The 24,465-nt window shown below is 36.6% G+C and overlaps 1 protein-coding gene across 2 annotated transcripts in view; it reads right to left on the bottom strand.

Moving 5' to 3' along the window:
- The window catches only part of RAB2A (RAB2A, member RAS oncogene family), a 106,735-nt gene that overhangs the window by 19,806 nt on the left and 62,464 nt on the right, over nt 1–24,465 (bottom strand). For both annotated transcript variants that reach the window (NM_001242644.1, NM_002865.3), the window contains 3 exons: nt 19,549–19,631; nt 19,024–19,116; nt 11,870–11,981 (listed from right to left, as the gene is read on the bottom strand). In NM_001242644.1, the coding sequence (NP_001229573.1) occupies nt 11,870–11,981; nt 19,024–19,116; nt 19,549–19,631 (288 nt within the window). The remainder of the gene's footprint in view (nt 1–11,869; nt 11,982–19,023; nt 19,117–19,548; nt 19,632–24,465) is intronic.

Raw genomic sequence — 24,465 nt, 5'->3', positions numbered from 1 at the left:
ATGTTGGCTAGGCTGGTCTTGAACTCCTGGCGTCAAGTAATCTTCCTGCTTCAGCCTCCCAAAATACCAGGATTACAGGCATAAGCTATGACATTTGCACTCATTTTTAATAATAATATCATAGCACCATCCCTCCTATTACTAAGTGAATAAAGGGGATTCATATATTATGCTGAGTGGGTGCTTCATTTCCTTGAGTTGAACTGTGTTTTATTATTCTAATTCAGTGTTTCTCAATCTCAATACTGCTGACATTTTGGACGAGATAATTCTGTGTTATGAGGAGATATCCTTTGCATTCATTTACCACGTTGCCTCTTTTCCCCCTCAACAGATCCTTCTTGGATGAAATCATAAAGCTGATTAATAGGAAATCTATAGACTAATAGTAAACTTATTTCCAGCAACAACACAGCTAGTGCTGGAACAAAGCTGTTGTTATCTTATGCTGTAAATTATCCAATCCCTTACAGGGAACTGTAACAGTTAAACTTCATGGTGTCCACTTGTATTACAGTAACTGGGTCTTGGTGAACATGTATAAATAGACTACAGCACAACATCAAAAGGAAACAGGTCCAATTCTAAACATCATCAATGTGCCATTTATATTTAATCTTAACAAATAATAATAGTCTAAAAAATCTTTTAAGAGGGTTCCCTGTGCATTAAAATTTCTCTACACATAGGTGCCAAGGATCAGCTGGGTTGTGAATAATTCTCAACAGATTATAAAAAACAGGATGATGACCTTCTCTGAAATGTCCCAACACCAACCACCACTGTCACTAGACAAGTGGGATGTGTCATTAGAATACCTGCCTTATTCTTAACCCATCACATGATCAGCTCTCATAGAAGAGAGTCCTCCAGAGAGCAAGCTGAGGATAGATCCTGTCTGAGCCCACGGTCAGTTTCTACCCACTGTGCTAAACCGCCTCTCCCATAGAGCTCTGCTTATTCTCCTAAGGAACAAAAGGATGGCATAGTTAGGCAAATCTGAGCCCTTGAAAAGCAAAAACATAAGGCATAGCACTTAGAACAAACTTCCCCATAATTACTGTAATTGCTGTTTCTTTCTAAGTCCAAGGGTCAACCTGATCAAGAATCAATGGGCCATGCATGCCTAACATTTACCTCCTTGGATCTAATTCTGCAGGATAATTCTTGCTTAAATCTCTGAGACAGTATATTGTAATTTGTCAGCAGCATAGTTTGGTCTTGGCTCTCCTGCCATAGGAACTGATGGTGAATGCCTATCAAAAGGCAGATACCAAATAAGTGCTGGTTTAGTTCTCCTCCTTCCTACTTCTCTAAGGAGGAAGAAACCCTTTTGTTAGTCTTCCTTGATCCCAAATAAACTAAATACTTGTTTTCCAATATTACTTGTTGAATGAAATAAAAGGGATGACATTAAGACTTTATATTAGATATTAAGGAATTGCTGTTAAGTTATATATGATAATGGTATTGTGTTATATTTTTTAAAATTACTTATATCGAAATATTTATAGGTAAAAATATTTCTGGCATTTGCTCAACAAATGGGATATAAGACTCAAAATGTCTACACGGTGGTAACTTCTAAAACTAGATGATGTCTATAAGGGTTTACTTTTTTAAGTGATAGTACCGATTAAGTTAATTTTTAAGAGCAGGCTGCCCAGGCACAGTGGCTTGAGCCTGTAATCCCAGCACGTTGGGAGGCTAAGGTGGGAGGATATCTTGAACCCAGGAGTCTGAGACCAGCCTGGGCAACATGGCAAGACTTTGCCTCTACAAAAAAAAAAAAATTAGCTGGGCATGGTGGCACACACCTGTCATTCCAGCTACTTGGGAGGCTTAAGCAGGAGGATCACTTGAGCCCAAGAGGTTGAGGCTACAGTTCAAACCACAGTACCCCAGCCTGGGTGACAGAGTGAGACCCTGTCTCAAAAAAACAAAATAAAATGAGGCTTAACACCAGCTCTATCAACTTCATTGTGAGCCTACCAAAATGCTTTGATATACATGATGTAGAAAAATAAGCTAATGAATAAAAGTGTATTGTCCTAAAAATGCCTTTTACTTAAAAATCTGTCATGTGGACATTGTGAATGAATGCGGTTTTTCTTCTAACCAGGACTTTCTTATTCCATATTAGTACAATTTCATCTTTAGCTGCTTCTGAGAAATGTAATTAAGAGAGTCTATGCATAATATGCTGGGCATGGCAGCTCATGCCTATAATCCCAGCACTTTGGGAGGCCACAGCAGGCGGATCATTTGAGCTTAGGAGTTTGAGACTAGCCTGGGCAACATAGTGAAACCTTGTTTCTACTAGAAGTACAAAAATTAGCCAGGCGTGGTGGCACATGCCTGTAGTCCCATCTACTCAGGAGGCTGAGGTGGGAGAAGTGCCTGAACCTGGGAGGTGAAGGTTGCAGCGAGTTGAGATTGTGCCAATGCATTCCCAACTGGGTGAGAGCGACACTCCATCTCAAAAAAAAAAAGAAAGAAAATAAAGTCTATGCATAATAAAAATCTCAACATTAATTATTATTTGCTAGGCATATGCTAAACATATATGGAGGGAACTATTTGTATAAAAGTTTGCCCTGTGCAGAAACGCAACATACAGAGCAAAAATCTAGTAATTTGAAAATCTGTATTCTTCAAGAATTCATAAAATACCAACAAGCTTCTATAGCCATATTCCATATTCTAACATTAGTATTTTATTGTGGTTAGGAGGCTTCTTCCTGATGAATTCTCATTTTTAAAACTGTCATCATGGTGTTAAAGGACTCAATCAGTTTAAGTTGGATGTACACAGTTATTTTTTGATTAAACTTTTTGTTTTAAGATAATTACAGATTCACATGCAGGTGTAAGAAATAATACAGAAGAATCCCGTGTAACATTTATGTAGTTTCCCCCCAGTAGTGACTTCATACAAAACTACATTATTAGTACATTGTTACAAAAATTTTTATCATTTCAAGAAAGTTACACAGATGGGATAATACAGGATCAACCTTTTGAGAATGGCTTGATTCACTAAGCATAGTTCTCTCCAGATTTATCCAGATTGCTGTATAGTATCTGTAGTTTCCCCCTTCTTATTGTTGAGTAGTATTCCATGGTATAGATGGACCACACTGTAACCATGCAGCCACTAAAGTGTCCTTCAACCCAATGTCTCTAGCCTGTTTCCAGTTTTTGGCCATTCTGAATAAAACTACTATGAACATCTGTGTATAGGTTTTTGAGTCAACCTAACTCTTCATTTATCTGGGATAAATGTCCAGGGGTGCAACAGCTAGGATGTATGGTAGCTGCATGTTTAGTGTTTAAAGAAACTGCCATTTTTCCAGAGTGGCTGTGTTATTTTACATTCCCACATGCAACGTAAGAGTGATCTGGTTTCTCCACATTCTCTTCAGCATTTGGTGTTCTCAGTATTTTTCATCTTAGCCTTTCTGACATTCTGACAGGTATGTAGTGACAGCTCATTGGGTGTTTTTCTTTCTTTTTTGAGACAGGGTCTGTGTTGCCCAGTCCAGTCTCAAATTCCTGGGCACAAGTGATCCTCCTGCTGCCTCAGCCTCCCCAGTAGCAGCTTACACCAACCAGGCCTGGCTTACTGAAGTTTTAATTTCTACTTCCCTAATGGCTACTGATGTCAAAGATCTTTTTTAGTGCTTATTTGCCATTTGTAGATCCTCTTCAATGAAATATCTGCTCATATCTCTCTTGCCCATTTTGTAATTGCATTGTTTTTTTTTTTTTTACTACCGAGTAAAATTACTCAACACTTTTGAGAATTTTTATTTCTAGCCACTAGTCTTTTGTTGGATACCTGGTATGTAAATATTTTCTCCCACTCTGAAGATGTGTCTTTTCATCTACTTAAACAGTCTTTCACAAGGCTAAAGTTTTTGAAAGCTAATTTATCACTTTTTCCTTTTATGAATCATCCTTTTGGTGACACATACGCTAAGGCTCAGATACTGAAATTTTTCTTTTTCTTTTTTTTTCCCCTAAAAGATAAATATGTTCATATTTTACATTTAACTCCAGGATTTTGTGTTAGTTTTTTTAAGGTGTGAGACTTAGGAGGAAGTTCATTTATTTTGGATTTCTAACTGCTAGAGTTCCATTTGTTGAAAAGGCTATCTTCTTCCATTTAACTACTTTTGCACCTTTGTTAAAAATTAGTTGTGCATATTTGTACGCGTGTTTCCAGGTTACTTATTCTGTTCCATTGATCTATGTGTCTATCCCTTTACCAGTATCACGCAGTCCTGATGACTGGCTAAGCAAAACTTGAAATCAATGGGTGGATTCATCCCATTGTATTCTCCTTTGCTAAGCTGTGTCAGCTACTTTAGTTCTTCTGCCTTTCCATATATATTTTATAATAATATTGTCTATATCTACAAAACATTGTACTGGAAGTTTGATATGAATTGTGTTAAACATTTATATCAATTTGTGAATAAGTGACATTTTACAAGGTTGAATATTCCAAACAGTAGGCATAGTATGCCTCTCTATTTATTTAGATTTTCTTTTACTTCTTTCACCACTGTAAGTAGTTTTGTAGTTTTCAGAATACATGGCCTGCACATGCTGTTTTTAGATTCACCCCTAAGTATTTCATTTTATTTTTTGTGTGCTTAAAAATGATATATTTTGAGTTTTGGTGTTCATGTTTTCATGGCTAAAACATAGAAATACGATTGATTTTTATGTCTACCTTGTATCCTGCAACCTTGCTGAACTCACTTTTTTTTGTTGCAAATCCCTTGAGATTTCCTACTGAGACAATTACATCATCCACAAATAGAACACTTTTTATTTCTTCCTTTCTTAGTTGTATGCCTTTTCTTTTTTTTTTTTTTTTTTTTTTTTTTTTTGCTTTACTGCACTGGCTAGAACTTCCATCAATATGTTGATTAATGTTGAGAAGAGACATTACTGCTTTGTTCCTAATCTAAGGAACAAGGCCTTCGACCTTTTGCCCTTAAGTATAACATTAGTTGTGGGTTTTTTTTTGGTGTGTGTTCACGTGCTCTTTAACAAGTTGAGGAAGTCCTCCTCAATTCCTATTTTTCTGAGAGTTTTTAAATATGTATGGGTGTTGAATTCTGTCAAATGGTTTTTCTGCATCAACTGCTATAATCACGTGGTTTCTCTTCTTTACCCTATTAAATGGTGGAGTACACTGATTTGTTTTTGAATACAGAGCAAGCCTTGCATCCCTGGAATAAACCCCATGTGGCCATGATGTATATATACTTTATAAACGTACACATACACAATTTCGTATATTGTTGAAATTCTATTTTCTGGTATTTTGTTGAGGAGTTTTGCTTATATATTTATAAAGGCTATTGGTTTGTACTTTTCCTTTTTTTGTATTGTCTTTGGTTTTAGTGTCAGAGTAAAATCAGTTTTATAAAATAAATAGGGAAGTGTTACATCTATTTTCTGCAAAAGATGGTCTAGAATTGGTGTTCATTCCTTTTTTAAACGTCTGGTAGAATTCCGCAGTGAAACCATTTGGACCTAGAGGTTTCGTTTTTGGGGAGTTTTAAAACTATGAATTCAATTTCCGTTGTAGTTTATAGGGCTATTCAATTTTTTTCTTTTTTGTGAGACGTAGTTTCACTCTTGTTGCCCAGGCTGGAGTGCAATGGTGCCTCTCGGCTCACTGCAACCTCTGCCTCCTGGGTTCAAGCGATTTTCCTGCCTTAGCCTCCCGAGTAGCCGGGATTACAGGCTCCTGCTACCACGCCCAGCTACTTTTTGTATTTTCAGTAGAGACAGGGTTTCACCATGTTGCCCAGGCTCAAATTAACTTTTTCATACTGGCTGGGTGTAGCAATTTGTGTTTTTGGATAAACTGGTCTATTAGTCATCTAAGTTGTCACATTTATGTGGGTAAAGCTATTCACAGCATTCCCTAATTACCTCTTTTATGTCTGGAGAATCTGTAGTGATAGCTTCTGTTTTGTTACTGATAATTGGTAACTTGCACCTTTTCTGTCAGTTTTGCTAGAGGTCTGCCAATTTTACTGAAGTTTTTAAAAAATCCAGCTCTTTGTTTCACTGATTTTTGTTTTCAACTTAATTAATCTCTGCTCTTATCTTTAATATTCCCTCCTTTCTATTTATTTTGGGTTTTTCTTTTTTATGGTTTATTTTGCTTTGGGTTCTTGAAGTAGGAGTTAAAATTATTTTGAGACTTCTTTTCTTTTGTTTTTTTAAATTATACTTTAAGTTCTGGGATACATGTGCAGATTTGTTACATAGGTATATACGTGCCATGGTGGTTTGCTGCACCCATCAATCCATCATCCACATTAGGTATTTCTCCTAATGCTATCCTTCCCCTAGGCCCCCACCCCCCAACAGGCCCTGGTGTGTGATGTTACCCGCCCTGTGTCCATGTGTTCTCATTATTCAACTCCCACTTATGAGTGAGAACATGCGGTGTTTGGTTTTCTATTTCTGTGTTAGTTTGCTGAGAATGATGGTTTCCAGCTTCACCCAAGTCCCCTGCAAAGGACATGAACTCATCCCTTTTTATGGCTGCATAGTATTCCATGGTGTATATGTGCCACATTTTCTTTATCCAGTCTATCACTGATGGGCATTTGGGTTGGTTCCAAGTCTTTGCTATTGTGAACAGTGCTGCAATAAACATACCTGTGCATGTATCTTTATAGAATGATTTATAATACTTTTGGTATATACTCAGTAATGGGATTGCAGGGTCAAATGGTAATTCTGGTTCTAGATCCTTGAGGAATTGCCACACTGTCTTCCACAATGGTTGAACTGAATTACCCTCCCGCCAACAATGTAAAAGTGTTCCTATTTCTCTACATCCTCTCCACCATCTGTTGTTTCCTCACTTTTATTTTTTTTGAGACAGAGTCTCACTCTGTCGCCGAGGCTGGAGTGCAATGGTGTGATCTTGGCTCACTGCAAGCTCCGCCTCCTGGGTTCATGCCATTCTCCTGCCTCAGCCTCCCAAGTAGCTGGGACTACAGGCGCCTGCCACCACGCCTGGCTAATTTTTTATATTTTTAATACAGATGGGGTTTCACCCTGTTAGCCAGGATGGTCTCATCTCCTGACCTTGTGATCCGCCCACCTCAGCCTCCCAAAGTGCTGGGATTACAGGCATGAGCCACCGCGCCCGGCCGTTTCCTCACTTTTTAATGATTGCCATTCTAACTGGCATGAGATGGTATCTCATTGTGGTTTTGATTTGCATTTCTCTAATGACCAGTAATAATGAGTTTTCATATGTTTGTTGGCCGCATAAATGTCTTCTTTTGAAAAGTGTCTGTTCATATCCTTCGCCCACTTTTTGATGGGGTTGTTTTTTTCTTGTAAATTTGTTTAAGTTCTTTGTAGATTCTGGATATTAGCCCTTTTGTCAGATGGATAGATTGCAAAATTTTTCTCCCATTCTGTAGGTTGCCTGTTCACTCTGATGATAGTTTCTTTTGGTGTGCAGAAGTTCTTCAGTTTAATTAGATCCCATTTGTCAATTTTGGCTTTTGTTACCATTGCTTTTGGTGTTTTAGTCATGAAGTCTTTGCCCATGCCTATGTCCTGAATGGTATTGTCTAGGTTTTCTTCCAGGGTTTTTATGGTTTTAGGTCTTATGTTTAAATCTCTAATCCATCTTGAGTTAATTTTTGTATAACGTATAAGGAAGAGACTTCTTCTTTTCTATTGTGTGCATTTAATGATATACATTTCCCTCTCGTAACACTGTTTTAGCTATTTTCCACAAATTGGTATGTTGTATTTTCATTCAGTTCAATGTGTTTTTTGTAATTCAAGACTTGCTCACTGACACACAGAAGCGTACTGTTTAGTTTCCAAGTATTTGTAGATTTTCCTATTTTCTGTTAAACTGATTTCTAGTTTAATTCCATTTTGTTTGGAGAATACATTCCGTATGATTTCAATACTTTAAAATCTATTGAGGTTTATTTTATGGCCCAGGACACGGTCTATCTTGGTATATATTCTGTGAGCACCTAAGGGATGCTGAAGTCTCCAACCGTAATTGTGAATTTCTCTATTTCTCCTCGCAGTCTATCAGTTTTTGCTTCACATATCTGGTACACGCATGTTTAGCACTGTCACATCTTTCTGGAGGGCTGATTCTTTTATCATTATATAATGTCCCACTCTGATAATTTTTTTCTGCCCTTAAGTTTATGTGATATTAATATAGCTACTCCTGTTTTCCTTTGATTAATATTTGTATAACTTTTCCTATCATTTTATTTTCAACCTAACTGTACTGTTGTATTTGGAGTGAGTTTCTTATAAATACCATATAGCTAAGTCATTGTTTTTAAAATTCTCTCTGCTAATCCCTTTTGATTTGTGTATTTTGACCACCAACATTTAGTTATTGATATATGAGGGCTTACATCTGACATTTTACTTTGTTTTCTATTTTCCTTCTCCTGCCTTCCTGTGGGCTAATCAAATCCCTTTATTCCCCATGGCTTATAATATTGTGGAATACACTGATAATCACATCAGACAGTGGTTACTTGTTTATACTTCAAACATCAAACATAATTTGCAAGACTTGAAGAAAAAAGTCTATCATATTTATCCATATTTTTGTTTCTTATGTTTTTTTCTTCCTTTATGGTGTTCTAAGATTCTTTCTTCAATCATTTCACTTCTATTAGAAAACTTCCTTTAGCCATTCTTTTATGCAAATCTGCTACTAATAAATTCTTGGTTTTTCCTTCTCTAAGAATGTCTTGATTGCACCTTCATTGCTAATTCTTTTTTTTCTTTGCTGGGTAAAGAATTCTGGGCTGATAGTTCTTTTCTTTCTGCTCTTGCAAAACACTGTGCTACGTATGTTTATTGTGGCAGTATTCACAATAGCAAAGACTTGGAACCAACCCAAATGTCCATCAATGGTAGACTGGATTAAGAAAATGTGGCACATATACACCATGGAATACTATGCAGCCATAAAAAAGTTGAGTTCATGTCCTTTGCAGAGACATGGATGAAGCTGGAAACCATAATTCTCAGCAAACTATCACAAGGACAGAAAACCAAACACCGCATGTTCTCACTCATAGGTGGGAACTGAACAATGAGAACACTTGGACACAGGGCAGGGAACATCACACACCGGGGCCTGTTGGGGGTTGAAGGGCTGGGGGAGGGATAGCATTAGGAGAAATACCCAATGTAAATGATTACTTGGTGGGTGCAGCAAACCAACATGGCACATATATACCTAGGTAACAAACCTGCTCGTTGTGCACATGTAACCTAGAACTTAAAGTATAATAAAAACAAACAAACAAACAAAAATCACTGTGCTATTTTCTCTGTCCTCCATGGTTTCTGATGAGAAATCTGCTATCATTAGAACTGTTTTTCCCCTATACGTAGGGTGCTATTTTTTGCTGCTTTCAAGATTTTTTTTTCTGTCTTTCACGTTCAGAAATTTGACCATACAGAGGTTCGTCATCATGTGGATTTGTCTGGGTTTAACCTCTTTGGGGCTGTCTTCAATCTGTAGGTTTATATACTTTTTGCCACATTTAAGAAGTTTTCAGCCATTATTTCTTTGAGTATTTTTCAGAGCCATTCCTTTTTCCTCTCCTTCTAGGACTTATGATGCATCATATAACGTCAGCTTTTGTTACAGTCCTATAAGTCCCTGAGGTAGTGTTCATTTGTTTCCTCAATTTTCTCTCTGCAGTTTAGACTAAGTAGTTACTATTGTTCTATCATCCAGTTCACTATTTCTTTCCTTTATCTCCATTCTGCTGTTGAGTCCATTCACTAAGTTTTTTTTTCTAGTGTACAAAGAGCTTTGAAAGAGTTTTAAAATTTCAATTATTGTATTTTTTTTTATTTTAAAATTCCTATTTGGTTCTTTTTTTTATCTTGCATTTCTTTTGCTCAGATTGTTTGTTTGCTAAGACTCTTCTGTTTCAAGCATGTTCCTTGTTTGTTGAGGCATTTTAATGATTGCTGCATTAAAATCTTTGTAAGATAATTCAAACACCACTGTCATTTCACTGTTGGCACCTATTATCTTTTTTTCATTCAATTTAAGATCTTCCTGGTTCTAGGTATGATGAATGATTTTCTATTGAAACATGGGTATTTTAGATACTATGTTATGAGACTCTGGGTCTTATTTAAACCACTGTTTAGTTGGCTTCCTCTCACTCCACTCCAACAAGGGAAATGGTGGTGGTAGGGTGCTACTTCATTACTGCCTGGGGATTGTGGAAGCAGAGCCACAATTTTTTCTGTGATGTTTGGCTACAGTAGAATGGTTACTTTCTAAGAGTGTTCTGGCTTGCGAACACTGTTCTGACCTGCCTATTTCCTGGTTCTCTGGCTAGAAGACTTTCTTTTTCTGTGCCTGTTGACCTTTCTAGGTTGCCTGTTTCTCTAGCACCCAGTCTCGGGTATGTGGCAAAAAGAAAACCAAGGGAAATCATCACTGTGTCATTCCTCTGGCACCAAGGTCTACTAAGGGAAGTGTGTAGTAGGTGCAGTAGTAGGCTATGCCATCTAGGCTTATGTAAGTACACTCTATGATGGTCACGTGACGATGAAATCACCTGGTGACATATTTCTCAGAATGTATCTCCTTTGTCAAGCAACACATGACTGTATAATATTTTACCTAAGAAAGAATTCTTCGGTGAAAATACCAATGCTGTAGAATTACTGTAGTCAATTTTTAGGTTCAAGGGTTAATCAGAAGAGCTCCAAGTATCATTCTTAATAAATATTTACTGACTGCTTACTACATTGAAGGCACATGCTAGCTGTTGCCCAGGACCCTGACCTCTGTTATCCTTACGGCAGTGATTCTTAACTCATTTGTTTTTTAGAACTACTTTCTGTAGTTGCTCTTATAAGCTGTTCTTATCTAGAAATCGGGAACTAAGTATTACTTTGGATAAACTACTACTTTTCTTAGCTTCATTACCTCTTTTTATAAAATAACAGTATAGTAATACATTTACCTTAGAAAGGATCAACTACGTAATCATCTATTTATAATATGTATATACATACTACCTCCAAACACAAACACATAGAGCATAAAAGAATACACTGTGTTCAGAAAAGTTCCAATAGTTCAGGTTCATCAATGGAAATAACTGAAATAATACAAATTTCATCAATAGATGAAACAGAATTCTCATGCTTTGTAAAATGTTACACAGCAATAATAGAATACTTTAAGCAGAAGTGGTGATGTGGTAATATATTGACAGTTAAAAAAATAAATAAAATTAAAAAAATAAGCAGAAGTGGATATAAATAGCTACAAACGTTCTGCTGTCTTGAAACATTTCCAAATTTCATTAGTGTGGTTCCTTGTTTCCCTCCCATGCAACACAAAAAAGATTTCCCTACCATGCAACACGAAGAAGTCCAATACCTTATATCTTTGAGTACAGTGGGTTCCCAGAGAAGCCATTTTGCTCAACATAATTTGAAAGAATAGGACTACACTATTCTCCTCCATTGGCCAGACTGACTTTCTATGAATGTGATTAAAATATAACTCTCAGAAACTATAGGAAATTGTTTAGAAAAAGGGAGGGAGTGAAAATACGTACAAAAATGTAAGAAAACATTCAGGCTTTAGAAGGCTCAATATGATTTAAGAGTCTGACAGAAGGTGAATGTTACAAGGGATTTCAAAGGGAAGAAACTTTCCTACTTTATGATGTTCAAAGACCATCCGACTAAAAACTTAAATAATAAGTAAAATGAAGATATATAAAACATTTCTATTAAGTATAAAGATGAAGATTTTAAAGGGCCTCTTATTTACCTCTTCTACATTGGAAGCAGTCTTAGCAGACGTTTCCATGAAGATGAGTCCATGTTCTCGTGCAAAAGCTTCACCTTCTTCTTTTTTTACTTCTCTTCTAGATTCTAAATCACTAAACATGGGAAAGAAAGGGTCACATTACTAATCAACATGGTACAAACAGAAGCATTTGTGGAAAGTGTACCATGGAATTCAAAGTTGTGATGACCATTCTTTTAATTAATTTTTAACATACTAACTGTATTATTCAGGGTATTATGAGGGTTAGTATTTAGAACACACTGTCTAGTTTCAAAGAACTAACAATCCAACAGAAGAAAGATTCTGTGTTAGAGCTTTAGAACGTTAGAACTAGCCGTAACTTAAGGGAGCCTCTAGTCTAATACCTTATATCTTTGAGTACAGTGCATTCCCAGAGAAGAAAGCCATTTTGCTTAACATAATTTGAAAGAGCAGGACTATACTATTCTCCTCCATTGGCCAGACTGACTGAGTTTCTATGAATGTGATTAAAATACAACTCTCAGAAACTACAGGAAATTGTTTAGAAAATCCAAAGTACTAAAGATACATTACATCATTGATCCCAGTTTGTTTAATTCCCAGTTTCCTCTTAAAGCAAAATTGATATAGACAGAGAGAGAGAGGGAGGGAGGGAGGGAGAAGGAGTAGAGAGAGACAGAAAAGGAGAAACGGAGTGAGAGAGAAAGTGTAAGCTAGAAATTTCCAATGAAAGCAGGGTATTCATTTTTATCATACTAGAATTTTATTAGTGGGGGGGAGGGGAGGTAGCAGTTGCTTTTAAAGCGTGTTTTATTTTTAAAGTTAAAAAACTTTATTATTATATTTATTACTTTTTATATATTATTTATTATTACATGTTTATACATGAAAAAAGATGTATAATATAATGTCCACATACTTCCAGCTAGCCTTGACATATTATTTGCCAGATTTCAGGTTTCTTTCCCTTTAAGAAATAAAATCAGCAACAGCAGAATCACCACCTGTGTGTCTCTGATCCCACTCTCCTCCCTCTTACCCTAAAGGTAACCACTACCTAAATTTGGTGTTTTCATTCTCATGCATGTTTTTGCATTTATCCTCATGTTTATAACCATAAATAGTATTTCTTTTTCATGTCTTTAAAAATTCAGATGTAGCTACTGTTTTACAACTTGTTAACTTTGGTCAACACTATGTTTTTCAAATTTATCCATATAATACATGCAGATCTAGTTTGTTTTTAAACTGGTGAATTACAGTCTACTGAATGAATGCAATACAACTTAAATTCTCTATAAGGCAAAGTTATTTATAATTTTTCATTATTACAAACAATGTTACAATAAGCATTATATATATATGTATTATATATATATAAAATACATATATTAAAATATATGTATTTTACATATATATATAAAATATATATATATATTTGTGTATACACGTGCCAAGGCTTTTCCAGGGCAGTTTTTTTTTTTTAATTTTTTCAGAGACAAAGTCTCACTATGTTGCTCACGCTGGTCTTGAACTCCAGGACTCAAGTGATCCTCCCACTTTGGCCTTCCCAATTGCTAGGACTACAGGACTGAGACACTGCGTTAAGCCTGGGTAGGATTTTTCAAACTGTGTCATGACTCAATGAATTGTAAAAATCACTCAGTAGGAAATAATCAGAATTTTTTTTTAAAAAAAGAAACAATAGGCCGGGTGCGGTGGCTCACACCTGTAATTACGGCACTTTGGGAGGCAAGGCGGGTGGATCACCTCAGGTTAGGAGTTCAAGACCAGCCTGGCCAACATGGTGAAACCCCGTCTCTACAAAAATACAAAAATTAGCTGGGTATGATGGTGGGTGCCTGTAATCCCAGCTACTCAGGAGACTGAGGCGGGAGAATTGCTTGAACCTGGGAGGCGGAGGTTGCAGTGAGCAGAGATCGCGCCACTGCACTCCAGCCTGGGCGACAGAGTGAGACTCCATCTTGGGAAGGGAAAAAAAAAAGAAACAATATAAAATATCAGAGTCTATCACCTATATACATAAGTTCCATCTACTGTTTCATGGAACTTACGTATAAAGGTATAATTTACGAATATTTTGTTATATGTGTAGGTGTATACACAATTTATTTACTAGGTCATGATGTAAAATACATTTCTTACTATAGGTCAAATCAAAAAACTCAAAAGCCATAGTACTTGACGATATACTTAGTGCAAAGTTTTAAAAATACCTCAGTTTTCCAGGCATTACATCATATTGTTGTCTTAGTTCACTCCCTCTGAATCCCACTTAAGTTGCTTAGGTTACTTAAGTATCTTTCTTTTAATTTATGGCCCCTTTTTGTTTAGGGTTTGCATTACAACCCTTACACTATTAAAAAACTTTCATTTTTTAAATCTCTGCTTCCTATTTCTTATATAACCAATTTATTAATAAAATGCCATAGTAAGAAAAATTTGTGTCATCTGTTGCTCTGACTAGGTCACTGCCCTTCACTGGCTCCCTACTGCTTAATGCGTCTAATTCAAAAATTGCTTATTCCCTGTTTTGATGTCTATCCACAGTTCAATTCATCTAAAAATAATCATCTCATTTATTTCTCTCTGTTCTTTCTTGTTCGTTATACTCCTGATTTTAAAGGTCACCCACCTACGATCATCAGAAACATCTCGTTTACATACTATGCTTTGTTTATTTCTTCTCACATTTGAACTATCAGCTCCTAGTGGTCGGTGACCAAATTTAAGCCACCAGTAAGCTGTCACTCATCATGTTTCAGCCACAAGGAAAAAATTGGTAAAATAAAAGGATAAAAATTCTCTTTATTTTCCAAGTATTCTCCTCTTATTATTTCATACCTTGAATGACAGAATAACTATTTCCATCATAGAAAGACTAAAACTTCCCTCCAATAGCTTTATAACCTTAAAAAGGTTTAGTGAGATGATTTAAATGTGGAAAAGAATACCCAAGAAAGGCCTTCAGAGAATATGATAATAGTTTCTTCTCTACACAAAGAAGTAAACAATGTTTAGCTTTTTATAATGTAAATATCACTTAGGTAATATTTTCTCTTAATAGCAAATCTCAATTTCTATTAAAACAACACTCTAAAATCTATACAGTATAACGATGTTTTACATTATAGCTTTTTTGAGGTGTAACAGACATAAAAGAAGTTGTACTTAAATGCAAAATTTGTTGAGTTTTAAGATATGTAAGCCCGTGAAGCCATCAGTCTCCCAAAAGTTTCCTCATACTCCATTGTAATCCATCCCTTCTTGCCCCTGCACCCTAGGCAGCTGATGATCTGCTTTCTGCCACTACAGATTAGTACACATTTACTAGGATTTTTATATAAATGTAATCACATGGTATTTTTGGTCTGAGTTTTTTCACTCTGTAATTATTTTGAGAATCATCCATTTTGCTGCATGTATCAATAGTTCATTCCTCTTTATAGCTGAGTTGTAGTCTGTTGTAATGCTGTATCACTATTTTTCGATTCATCTGTTAATTGATATTTGGGTTGTTTCCAGTTTGGGGCTATTAGAAATAAAGCTGGTATGAATATTTGTACATAATTCTGTGGACACATGAAGACATATTTATGTTGGGTAAACATCTGGGAGTAAAGTGGCTAGGAAATATAGATGTGTGCTTTATTTCTTTTTTTTGAGACAGGGTCTTGCTCTGTGGCCTAGGCTGGAATACAGTGGCATGATCATGGCTCACTGCAGCCTTGACCTCTCAGGCTTAAGTGATCCTACCACCTCAGCCTCTGGAGTAGCTGGGACTACAAGTATGTACCACCATGTTCAGCTACTTTTTTAAAAAATTTCTTATTTTTGTATAGAAGAAGTCTCCCTACATTGCCCAGGCTGGTCTCAAACTCCTAGGCTGAAGCAATCCTCCCGCCTCGGCCTTTTAATTTCTAAAGAAACTACCAAATTGTTTTCCAAAGTGATTGTATCATTTTACGTTCCCATCAGTAGTATATCTTCTGTAGTAATTGCTGGTTCAAATCTTTAGATCATTTTTAAAAAGTGGATGTCTTCTTATTAATGAATTATAAGCATTCTTCATATATTCTAGATATAAATCCTTTGTCAGATACATTTTTCACAAATATTTTCTGCTAGTCTGTAGCTTGTCTTTTCATTTTTGTAACCGTTTTTCTTCAAATTTATTTATTTAAATTGATAGGTAAAATTGCATATATTTATCATGTACAACATATTGTTTTAAAGTATATATACACTGTGGAATGGTTAATCTAGCTAATTTGCATTATCTCACAGTTATCGTTTTTTGTGGTGAGAACACTTAACATCCACTCTTTCAGCATTTTTCCAGAATGCACTATATCATCATTAACCATGTCACGATGTTGTATAATAGTGTAACCGTCTTTTGAAGAACAAAAGTTTTAAATTCAGTTAAAGAACAATTTATTGATTTTTTTTCTGAACTATAAGTTCATGCTTTTCTCTGTCCCATTTAAGAAATGTTTGCCAAAACAGGGTCACTACAATTTGTTTTCTTTTAGAAATTTTAAGTAGTTTTAGCTCTCACACTTAGGTCTATGATCCACTTCCAGTTAATTTTTGTAAATGGTATAATGTAACAGTTGAGGTTCATATTTTTACATATGACTATTAACTGTTTCAGCACCATTTGATGAAAAAGATTACCCCTTCTTCAACTAAATTAGCATCTCTGTCAAAAAATTAATATATCATATATATATGAATCTACTTCTGGAACTTCTTATTCGGCTCTACTGATCTATGTCTGCTTATGCCAAACAATAGTAAATTGACTATAGTATAATAAATCTTAAAATTTGTAGAATAGTAAATTCTCTCCAATATTGTGCCTCTTTGTCAAAGTTGATTTGGCTATTCCGTGGCCTTTGCACATAAACTTTAAAGTCAGCTTGTCAATATCTACCCTCCCAAAAAAGTCTGCCAATGTTTGATAGTTTGATTAGGGTTACAATAAATCTTTTTTTTTTTTTTTTTTTCTTGGAGACAGAGTCTTGCTCTTTTGCCCAGGCTGGAGTGCAGGTGGCACAATCATAGCTCACTGCAACCTTGAGCTCCTGGATTCAAGTGATCCTCTCACCTCTGCTTCCTGAGTAAGTAGAGCTAAAGGCGTGTGCCAGCATGCCTAGCTAGTTTTTTTTAATTATTATTTTATTTTTTGTAGAGATAGGGTCTTGCTACATTCTCAGGCTGGTCTTGAACTCCTTGCCTCATGTGATGCTCCTGCCTTGGCCTCCCAAAGTGCTGGGATTACAGATGTGAGCCATTGTACCTGGCCTTCAATGAATTTTTAGATAAATTTGAGAAGACATCTTATATTTAGTTTTACAATCCATGAACATGGTTATATCTCTTCATTTATTTAGTCTGTTTACAATATTCTCTCTCTTTTTTTTATCTATAGTGATGTCAACCTTTCTTTCCTGATATTGCTAATGTTTGTCTTTTTCCTGATCAGTATCTATTTTATTTTATCTTCTGAAGAATTAGCTTTTGGTTTCATTGGTTTTCTCTCTCTCTTTTTTTTTTAACGGGCAGGAGGCTTTCCTTAACTTTGATTTGCTCTTATTCTAGTTTCTTAAGGCAAAAAAATTAGGCTATTTTCTTTTTTTTTTTGAGACAAGGTCTTGCTTTGTTGCTCAGGCTGGAGTACAGTGGCATGAACACAGTTCACTGCAGCCTCAACTGGGCTCAAGTGATTCTCCCACCTCAGCCTCCTGAGTAGCTGGAATCACAGGAATGCACCATCATGTCTAGCTAAATTTTAAAATTTGTTGTAGAGATGGAGTCTCCCTGTGTTGCCCGGGCTGATCTTGAACTCCTGGGATCAAGCAATCCTCCACCTGGGCCTCCCAAAGTGTTGGGATCACAGGTGTGAGCCACTGTACCTGGCCCTAGGCTGTTCATTTAAAAATTTTCTTGATAGTACTATTTTAACTGCATCTCACACATTTTCAAAGACTGCAGAGAGAGAAGTTAACTTGTGGGAATAAACGCAAATAATTCCTGTCCATGGAAATGCAGACTGTGTCCTGTGGAATACAATTAATACCCTGTGAATACTGTTCAGTTTTGCATCCATCTTGTAAATTCATTTCAGTTTCTTTATTTGATTATCAATGTATAGTAATTTGAGTTCCCTTTTGAACTGGCTGAAATATCTTACCAGTTTCCTTATCTTGTTAATTAATGAGATAAAAGTTTTGAGATGTCTTCATTATCATATAAGTCATGATTTTACCTATCTAAAAACAGCATCTCTTCAGAGTATTTTATTAATATAACCCTAAAGAATGAATGGGCCGGGTGTGGTGGCTTATGCCTATAATCCCAGTACTTTTGGAGGCCCAGGTGGGAGAATCACTTGAGGTTAGGAGCCTGAGACCAGCCTGGGCAACAAAGTGAGACCCTTTCTTTATAAGAAATAAAAAGATAAACTAGCTGTGGTTGTGCATGCCTACAGTCTCAGCCACTTTGGAGGCTGAGGCAGGAGGATTCCCTTGAGCCCGGGAGGCCAAGCTGCAGTGAGCTATGATCACACCACTGCACTCTAGCCTGGGTAACAGAGTGAGTCCCTGTCTCAAACAAAACAAAACAAAACAAAACAAAACAAAACAAAACAAAACAAAAAGAATGGTGCCTAGCATTTTGAAAATACTAATATTTTCTTACCACTGTAAGTTTCTACAAAAATTAGTGAAAACTTTCCCACACTCTTAGAAGTTTATGGAAACTGGTCAAGCAAGAAGGTTTTCCCATATAATAGCATTTTAAATTGACAGCACAAAGATGTTCAATCCAACTCCCCAAATAAATCAGTAGGCTTTACTTTACATCAGTAATCTGATAAAACTCCTTCAGATTACTTTTTAAAGTATTTCTTTACACAAAAACTATTTCTAATAATAACAGTAATAATTTCCAACAAAGCTTATTAACATCATTTTAAAAATCAAAAGAAACACCTTAGAATTTCCGAAATTTTATAATTTAAGAGGCTGGTAACTCACATTTGAACAAATGTTAAGGAAAGTAGTCAAATAAACAGTACAGTCTTCATCACTAATGCAATGTAAGCTCTAAATTAGCCTTTTTACCTTTTATTTCCAATAAGCATAATGACCATGTTGGAATTGGAATGCTGGCGGGCATCTTCTAACCAGGTTGTCAAGTGGTTGAATGTATCTCTCCTAAACATAAATAATAATTTAATTACTATGTTCAAAGCATTTCCCTCAGTATACAACGAACAATATACATATTTTTAAAGAGAACCACTTTTAGCCATATCCACTTATGTAACGAGAAGTAGTTTTAAGCACCATATCTGGGTTTAGAGTTCACTGATTGTATTTCAGTTTATAAATTAAATGTAATCACACTTTAGAAAATTCCAATGAATAAATAATATGGCCGATTTCAATTTGAAGGTGCTAATTCAAATAAGAAAAACAATTCAGTTGCAGGTTTCTGTAGTAAATTTAAATTGGACTCAAGATGCAGTTTTAAAGGTGAGTAGCCGGGGCAGAAAGGCTAAGCTATTCTTTCATTACTGTTAACCACATCTATTTAGAAAAATTCTCTGTATCAACTACTGAATTGCAAAGTTTTCAAGTTCTCACCGTGTAATATCGTAAACTAGTAAAGCTCCTGCTGCACCTCTGTAATACGACCTTGTGATGGAACGAAAGGATTCTTGCCCTGCCTGTAACGAAAAAAAAGGTTGGAGAGTTTCCTTTAATACAATGTCCTCTACATTTTCATATTATTCATATACAGAATAAGAGCAGGTAGGGAAGGAGTGCATAAAGAGAGACAAGAAAACTTAACTTCACCAGTCTTAGGAAAAAGTTACAAAACACCGCTATTGCTCAAGATTGCTCAAGTCAACGAGACGCACATGTAGTGCACATGTAGTCGCTCCTGCAACCTCCCCAGCCCGCAAGACCTCTAAACCCTTTTTGGCAATCCCTGACAACCCAATTTACTGAATGGCTTCACAATACACGAATCATTATTAAAGGACAGAATGGACTCCTAGCAACTAAGCTCTGAAGACAAATTTGAAAGGAAGCAAATAACCCAGAGCCTCACATTTGAATTCAATAACCCACTCCCTGGGGCAGCTGTTGACACTAGAATAAATAAAACCCATTGTAAATAAATGATGAATGACATCTTTACGCCCACCATCTGCTGGTGTAAAGGTTGTTGGAAGGCCAAGGATGCAGATTTTATCAGTTATATCATAAACTGCAGTGAGCTTTCAACAGTCATCAAATGGAATTCTTTGAGCAATCATTTTATTATGAAAAGCAAAATGGTTCTGAATTTAATTTATATAAGTTTTTTTCTCCACACTTAATCAATTTTCTCTGTATTTGATATATAATGCTTGTCAAAAGGCAACAGGATGTAAAAGTCATCTTTATATCCACTTGTGAAACAGACACAAGAGATTATGCAAAGCTAGGTAATTTCTCTTTTACTCATGGTACTAATTTCTGTTTTTTTAAGAATTGCTGGGGAGGAATGTGACTGTTCTGTCTGAGTTTAAAACCGAGACAGCTCTTATAAGAAGTTATTTTTCATTTTTAATCCCTTCTTTTCCTACTTTTGCAAAAACATAAGCATTTTAATTAAGTAAACGTAAAGCCAATTTTAACGATTTTTATATTCAAAATCCCCTAACTTGAAAAATATTGATGTTTACACATTCTGAGTTCTGATCTTGCAATGTAAATATTTAGCCCTTCCCACCCTCAGAATGCGCATGGACGGCTCATATTCTACCCTGTTTAACACTCAACACTCTACAATACCTTGCTCTTGTTGACCCTTCCTCTATACTCCCTCCCTCCCCCATCCCCCACCCCCTGCATGTGACTAAGTGTGTGCTAGGCACTGGGTCCGGCATATAGCAGGCATTCAGAGAAAGCCTGTTGAGTGAAAAAGTGGAAAAATAGGCTGGGCATGGTGGCTCACGCATGCAATCCCAGCACTTTGGGAGGCCATGACTGGTGGATCGCTTGAGCCTGGGAGTTTTTAACCCATTTATGCCTAGTGTTCCATTATTGGAATGCTAAGCTTGTGGGAGTTATTTATATCCTACTGCTCAAGGTCACTGCCAAGGTCTGATTTTTCACACAAAAAATTTGCAACTTCCTGCATAAATGGGTTAAGACCAGCCTGGGCAACATGGCAAAACCCCGTCTCTACCAAAAATATAAAAATTAGCCAAGTGTGGTGGCACGCCCCCAGCTACTTGGGAGGCTGAGGTAGGAGGATCATCTGAGCCCAGGTGAGGAGGCTGCAGGGAGATGTAATTGCACCACTGTACTTCAGTCTTGCTAACAGAGCAACACCTTGTCTCCAAAAACAAAAACAAAAAAACAACAAAAAAGTGAAACAAGAAATCCTAATGTCTTAGTTATATGCGTAAAATAATCAGTACTCCATCCCACATAGCTGAGTGGACATCTGTAAATCCTAACGTGCTGAGATTCAATGAAAATAACTTCTCCTATGTGGAAAATAACAATTAGACCCTCTCTTGGGTAGGCAATTTTGGCAGTTAGAATAATGTCATGCTAAATTAGACAGTGAGAAAGCCATCACACAAAAGGGCTATAAAAATAGCCAAATCATTTTACATAGCTTAGGTTAAACTGAAGACAGCCGGGTATAATGGCTCATGCCACTTTGGGAGGCTGAGGCAGGAGTATTGCTTGAGGCCAGGAGTTCAAAACCAGCCTGGCTAACATGGCGAGACCCCATCTCTACAAAAAAAATTTTAAAAATTAGCTGGGTGTTGTGGCTTACCCGTGCAGTCCTAGCTACTTGGGAGGCTGAAGCAGGAGGATCACTTGAGCCCAGGAGTTCAAGGCTACAGTGAGCTACAATCACACCACTGCACTCCAGCCTGGGCAACAGATGAGGCCCTGTGTCTTTAAAAAAAAAAAAAAAGAAAGAAAAACAACAACAACAAAAAACAACAAAAAACTAGAAGATACCTTGTTTTTATTTTAAATTGATTGTTTTTTAAAATTTATTATTTTTTATTTTTTTATAGAGACCAGGTTTCACCATGTTGCCCAGGGTGGTCTCAAACTACTGAGCTTTAAGCAATCAACCTGTCTCGGTCTCGTAAAAGTGCTGGGGTTACAGGTGTGGGCCACTGTTCCCAGCCAAATTCACTGTTCTGAAGGCACAATGGCAGGAAATATCTTCTTTAACTGCTTAGCACAGAAAAACTAAGGACTAGATCTTTAGGGATTAATTTCACTGTAAATCCTATGTACCAAGAAAGGATTCTGTGTTAGGTACAGTAGTTCCCCCTTATTTGAGGTTTTGCTTTCTAAGGTTTCAGTTATTGGTGGTCAACTGCAGTCTGAAAATATTAAATGGAAAAGTCCAGAAATAATAATTCCTAAGTTTTAAATTGTACACTATTCTGAGTAGTGTGATAAAAGTCTCCCACTATCCTGCTGCTCCGTCCTGCTGGGGATGTGAATCATCCCTTTGTCCAGCCTATCTTCACTGTATACACTACACTACCTGCCTGGTAGTCACTTAGTACAGGTTGAGCACTTCTTCTCTGAAATGCTTTGAACCAGAAGTGTTTCTGATTTTAGAATATTTGCATTATACTTATCAGTTGAGCATCCCTAATCTGAAAACTAAAATCCAAAATGCACCAAAAAGCATCTCCTCTGAGTGTCATGTGAAAGCTCAAAAAGTTTGGGATTTTCAAATTAGGGATGCTTAAACTGCAGCCGTCTCTGTTATGGGATCGAAAAACTAGTATATATAGAGTTCAGCACTATCTGCAATTTCAGGCATCTACTGAGGGTGTTAGCATCTATTCCTCATGGATAAGGAAGAGCTACTGTAATACAAAAAAGATACATATTTTATTAGTTCAAAATAAAAATCAGGTTTATAGCTCTAATATTGCCCATGGCTGATCATCAAGCAAAGGTAAAAGTCCTTTAAACCAATCTCTCCAGGGACATTCTGTGGGATGAATTAAAATGAACACATTGCTAGAAAAGTACTACTATAAGATCCACAACTTCCAGTTTAGAGCCTAGATAAGAGATAGTAAAGAGTAAAAGACAAAATAAATTTAGGAAAAGGAGAAAAGCAAACTTTTATAACCATTCTCATTCCTTCTGAACTGTTTTGCAAAGAACAAAACACGTTCCAATATGGAAATAACTTACACAATACATTTGAATCTAGACTTCTGCCCACTACAAAATTAAACAAAAGCTCGAGCAAATAAAAAAACACAATTCCCACTGAAGACTATGACTGTAGCTATGCATCTTAAGATCTATGATTACTTTATAATAAATAAAGATGAGTGTTCAGAATAGTTTACAAATTCTTGAGACCTTACTTATCTGAAAACTATCACAACTCTGGCCTATTCTCTTTGATAATGGTATTGGTAGCCTTGAAATAAATCTTGCCCAGTGAAGTTTTTTTTTTTATTATGGCTTCTCTAACTATAAATAAACTGTTATATAACAACTAACTGCATAAAGTTAGCCCAAAGGTTAACTACCTTGACATATTAAAGCAAAGTAATTTGATTTTTAAAAAGCACTTTAGGCTGGTCGCAGTGGCTCACGCCTGTAATCTCAGCACTTTGGGAGGCCGAGACAGGCAGATCACGAGGTCAGGCGTTTGAGACCAGCCTGACCAACTGGTGAAACCCCATCTCTACTAAAAAATACAAAAATTAGCCGGGTGTGGTGGCGCACACCTGTAATCTCAGCTACTTGGGAGGCTGGGGCAGGAGAATCACTTGAAGCCAGGAGGCGGAGGTTACAATGAGCCGAGATCATGCCATTGCACTCCAGCCTGGGCAACAGAGTGAGACTGTCTCAAAAAAAAAAAAAAAAGGTGCTTTAATATATACCTATCCAAACTCGGATTGACCTATATTGTTTTAAGTGAAACAAAAATGTTAACCTAGGGCCAGGCGCGGTGGCTCACGCCTGTAATCCCAGCACTTTGGGAGGCCAAGGCAGGCATATTACGAAGTCAAGAGATCGAGACCATCCTGGCTAACACAGTGAAACCCTGTCTCTACTAAAAATGCAAAAAATTAGCCGGGCTTGGTGGCGGGCACCTGTAGTCCCAGCTACTCGGGAAGCTGAGGCAGGAGAATGGCGTGAACCTGGGAGGAGGAGCTTGCAGTGAGCCAAGACTGCGCCACCGCACTCCAGCCTGGGTGACAGAGTGAGACTCCATCTCAAAAAAAAAAAAGTTAACTTAGGAATTATAAATGTTGTGTTTGATCCTCTTCACTATAAACTGTTGGTTAAAAGGGATTTTGGAAGCTTGAAACCAAACAGGATACAAAATTCTTTGTATTTAATAGTAAGAGATTCCTAATATTAGCTTAGAGTGTAAAGAAAAACACATTTAGTCAAACAGGAATGATTGCCTAAGTGAACAGCACCACAAAACAAACTTGGGGTGGAGTGGCCAGAGTGGACAGTAAGTTCTCTTGGCTCACAATATAA

Source organism: Homo sapiens, chromosome 8 (genome assembly GCF_000001405.40).
Source record: "Homo sapiens chromosome 8, GRCh38.p14 Primary Assembly".
NCBI lineage: Eukaryota > Metazoa > Chordata > Mammalia > Primates > Hominidae > Homo > Homo sapiens.
This window is presented reverse-complemented; position numbering and strand designations above follow the sequence as displayed.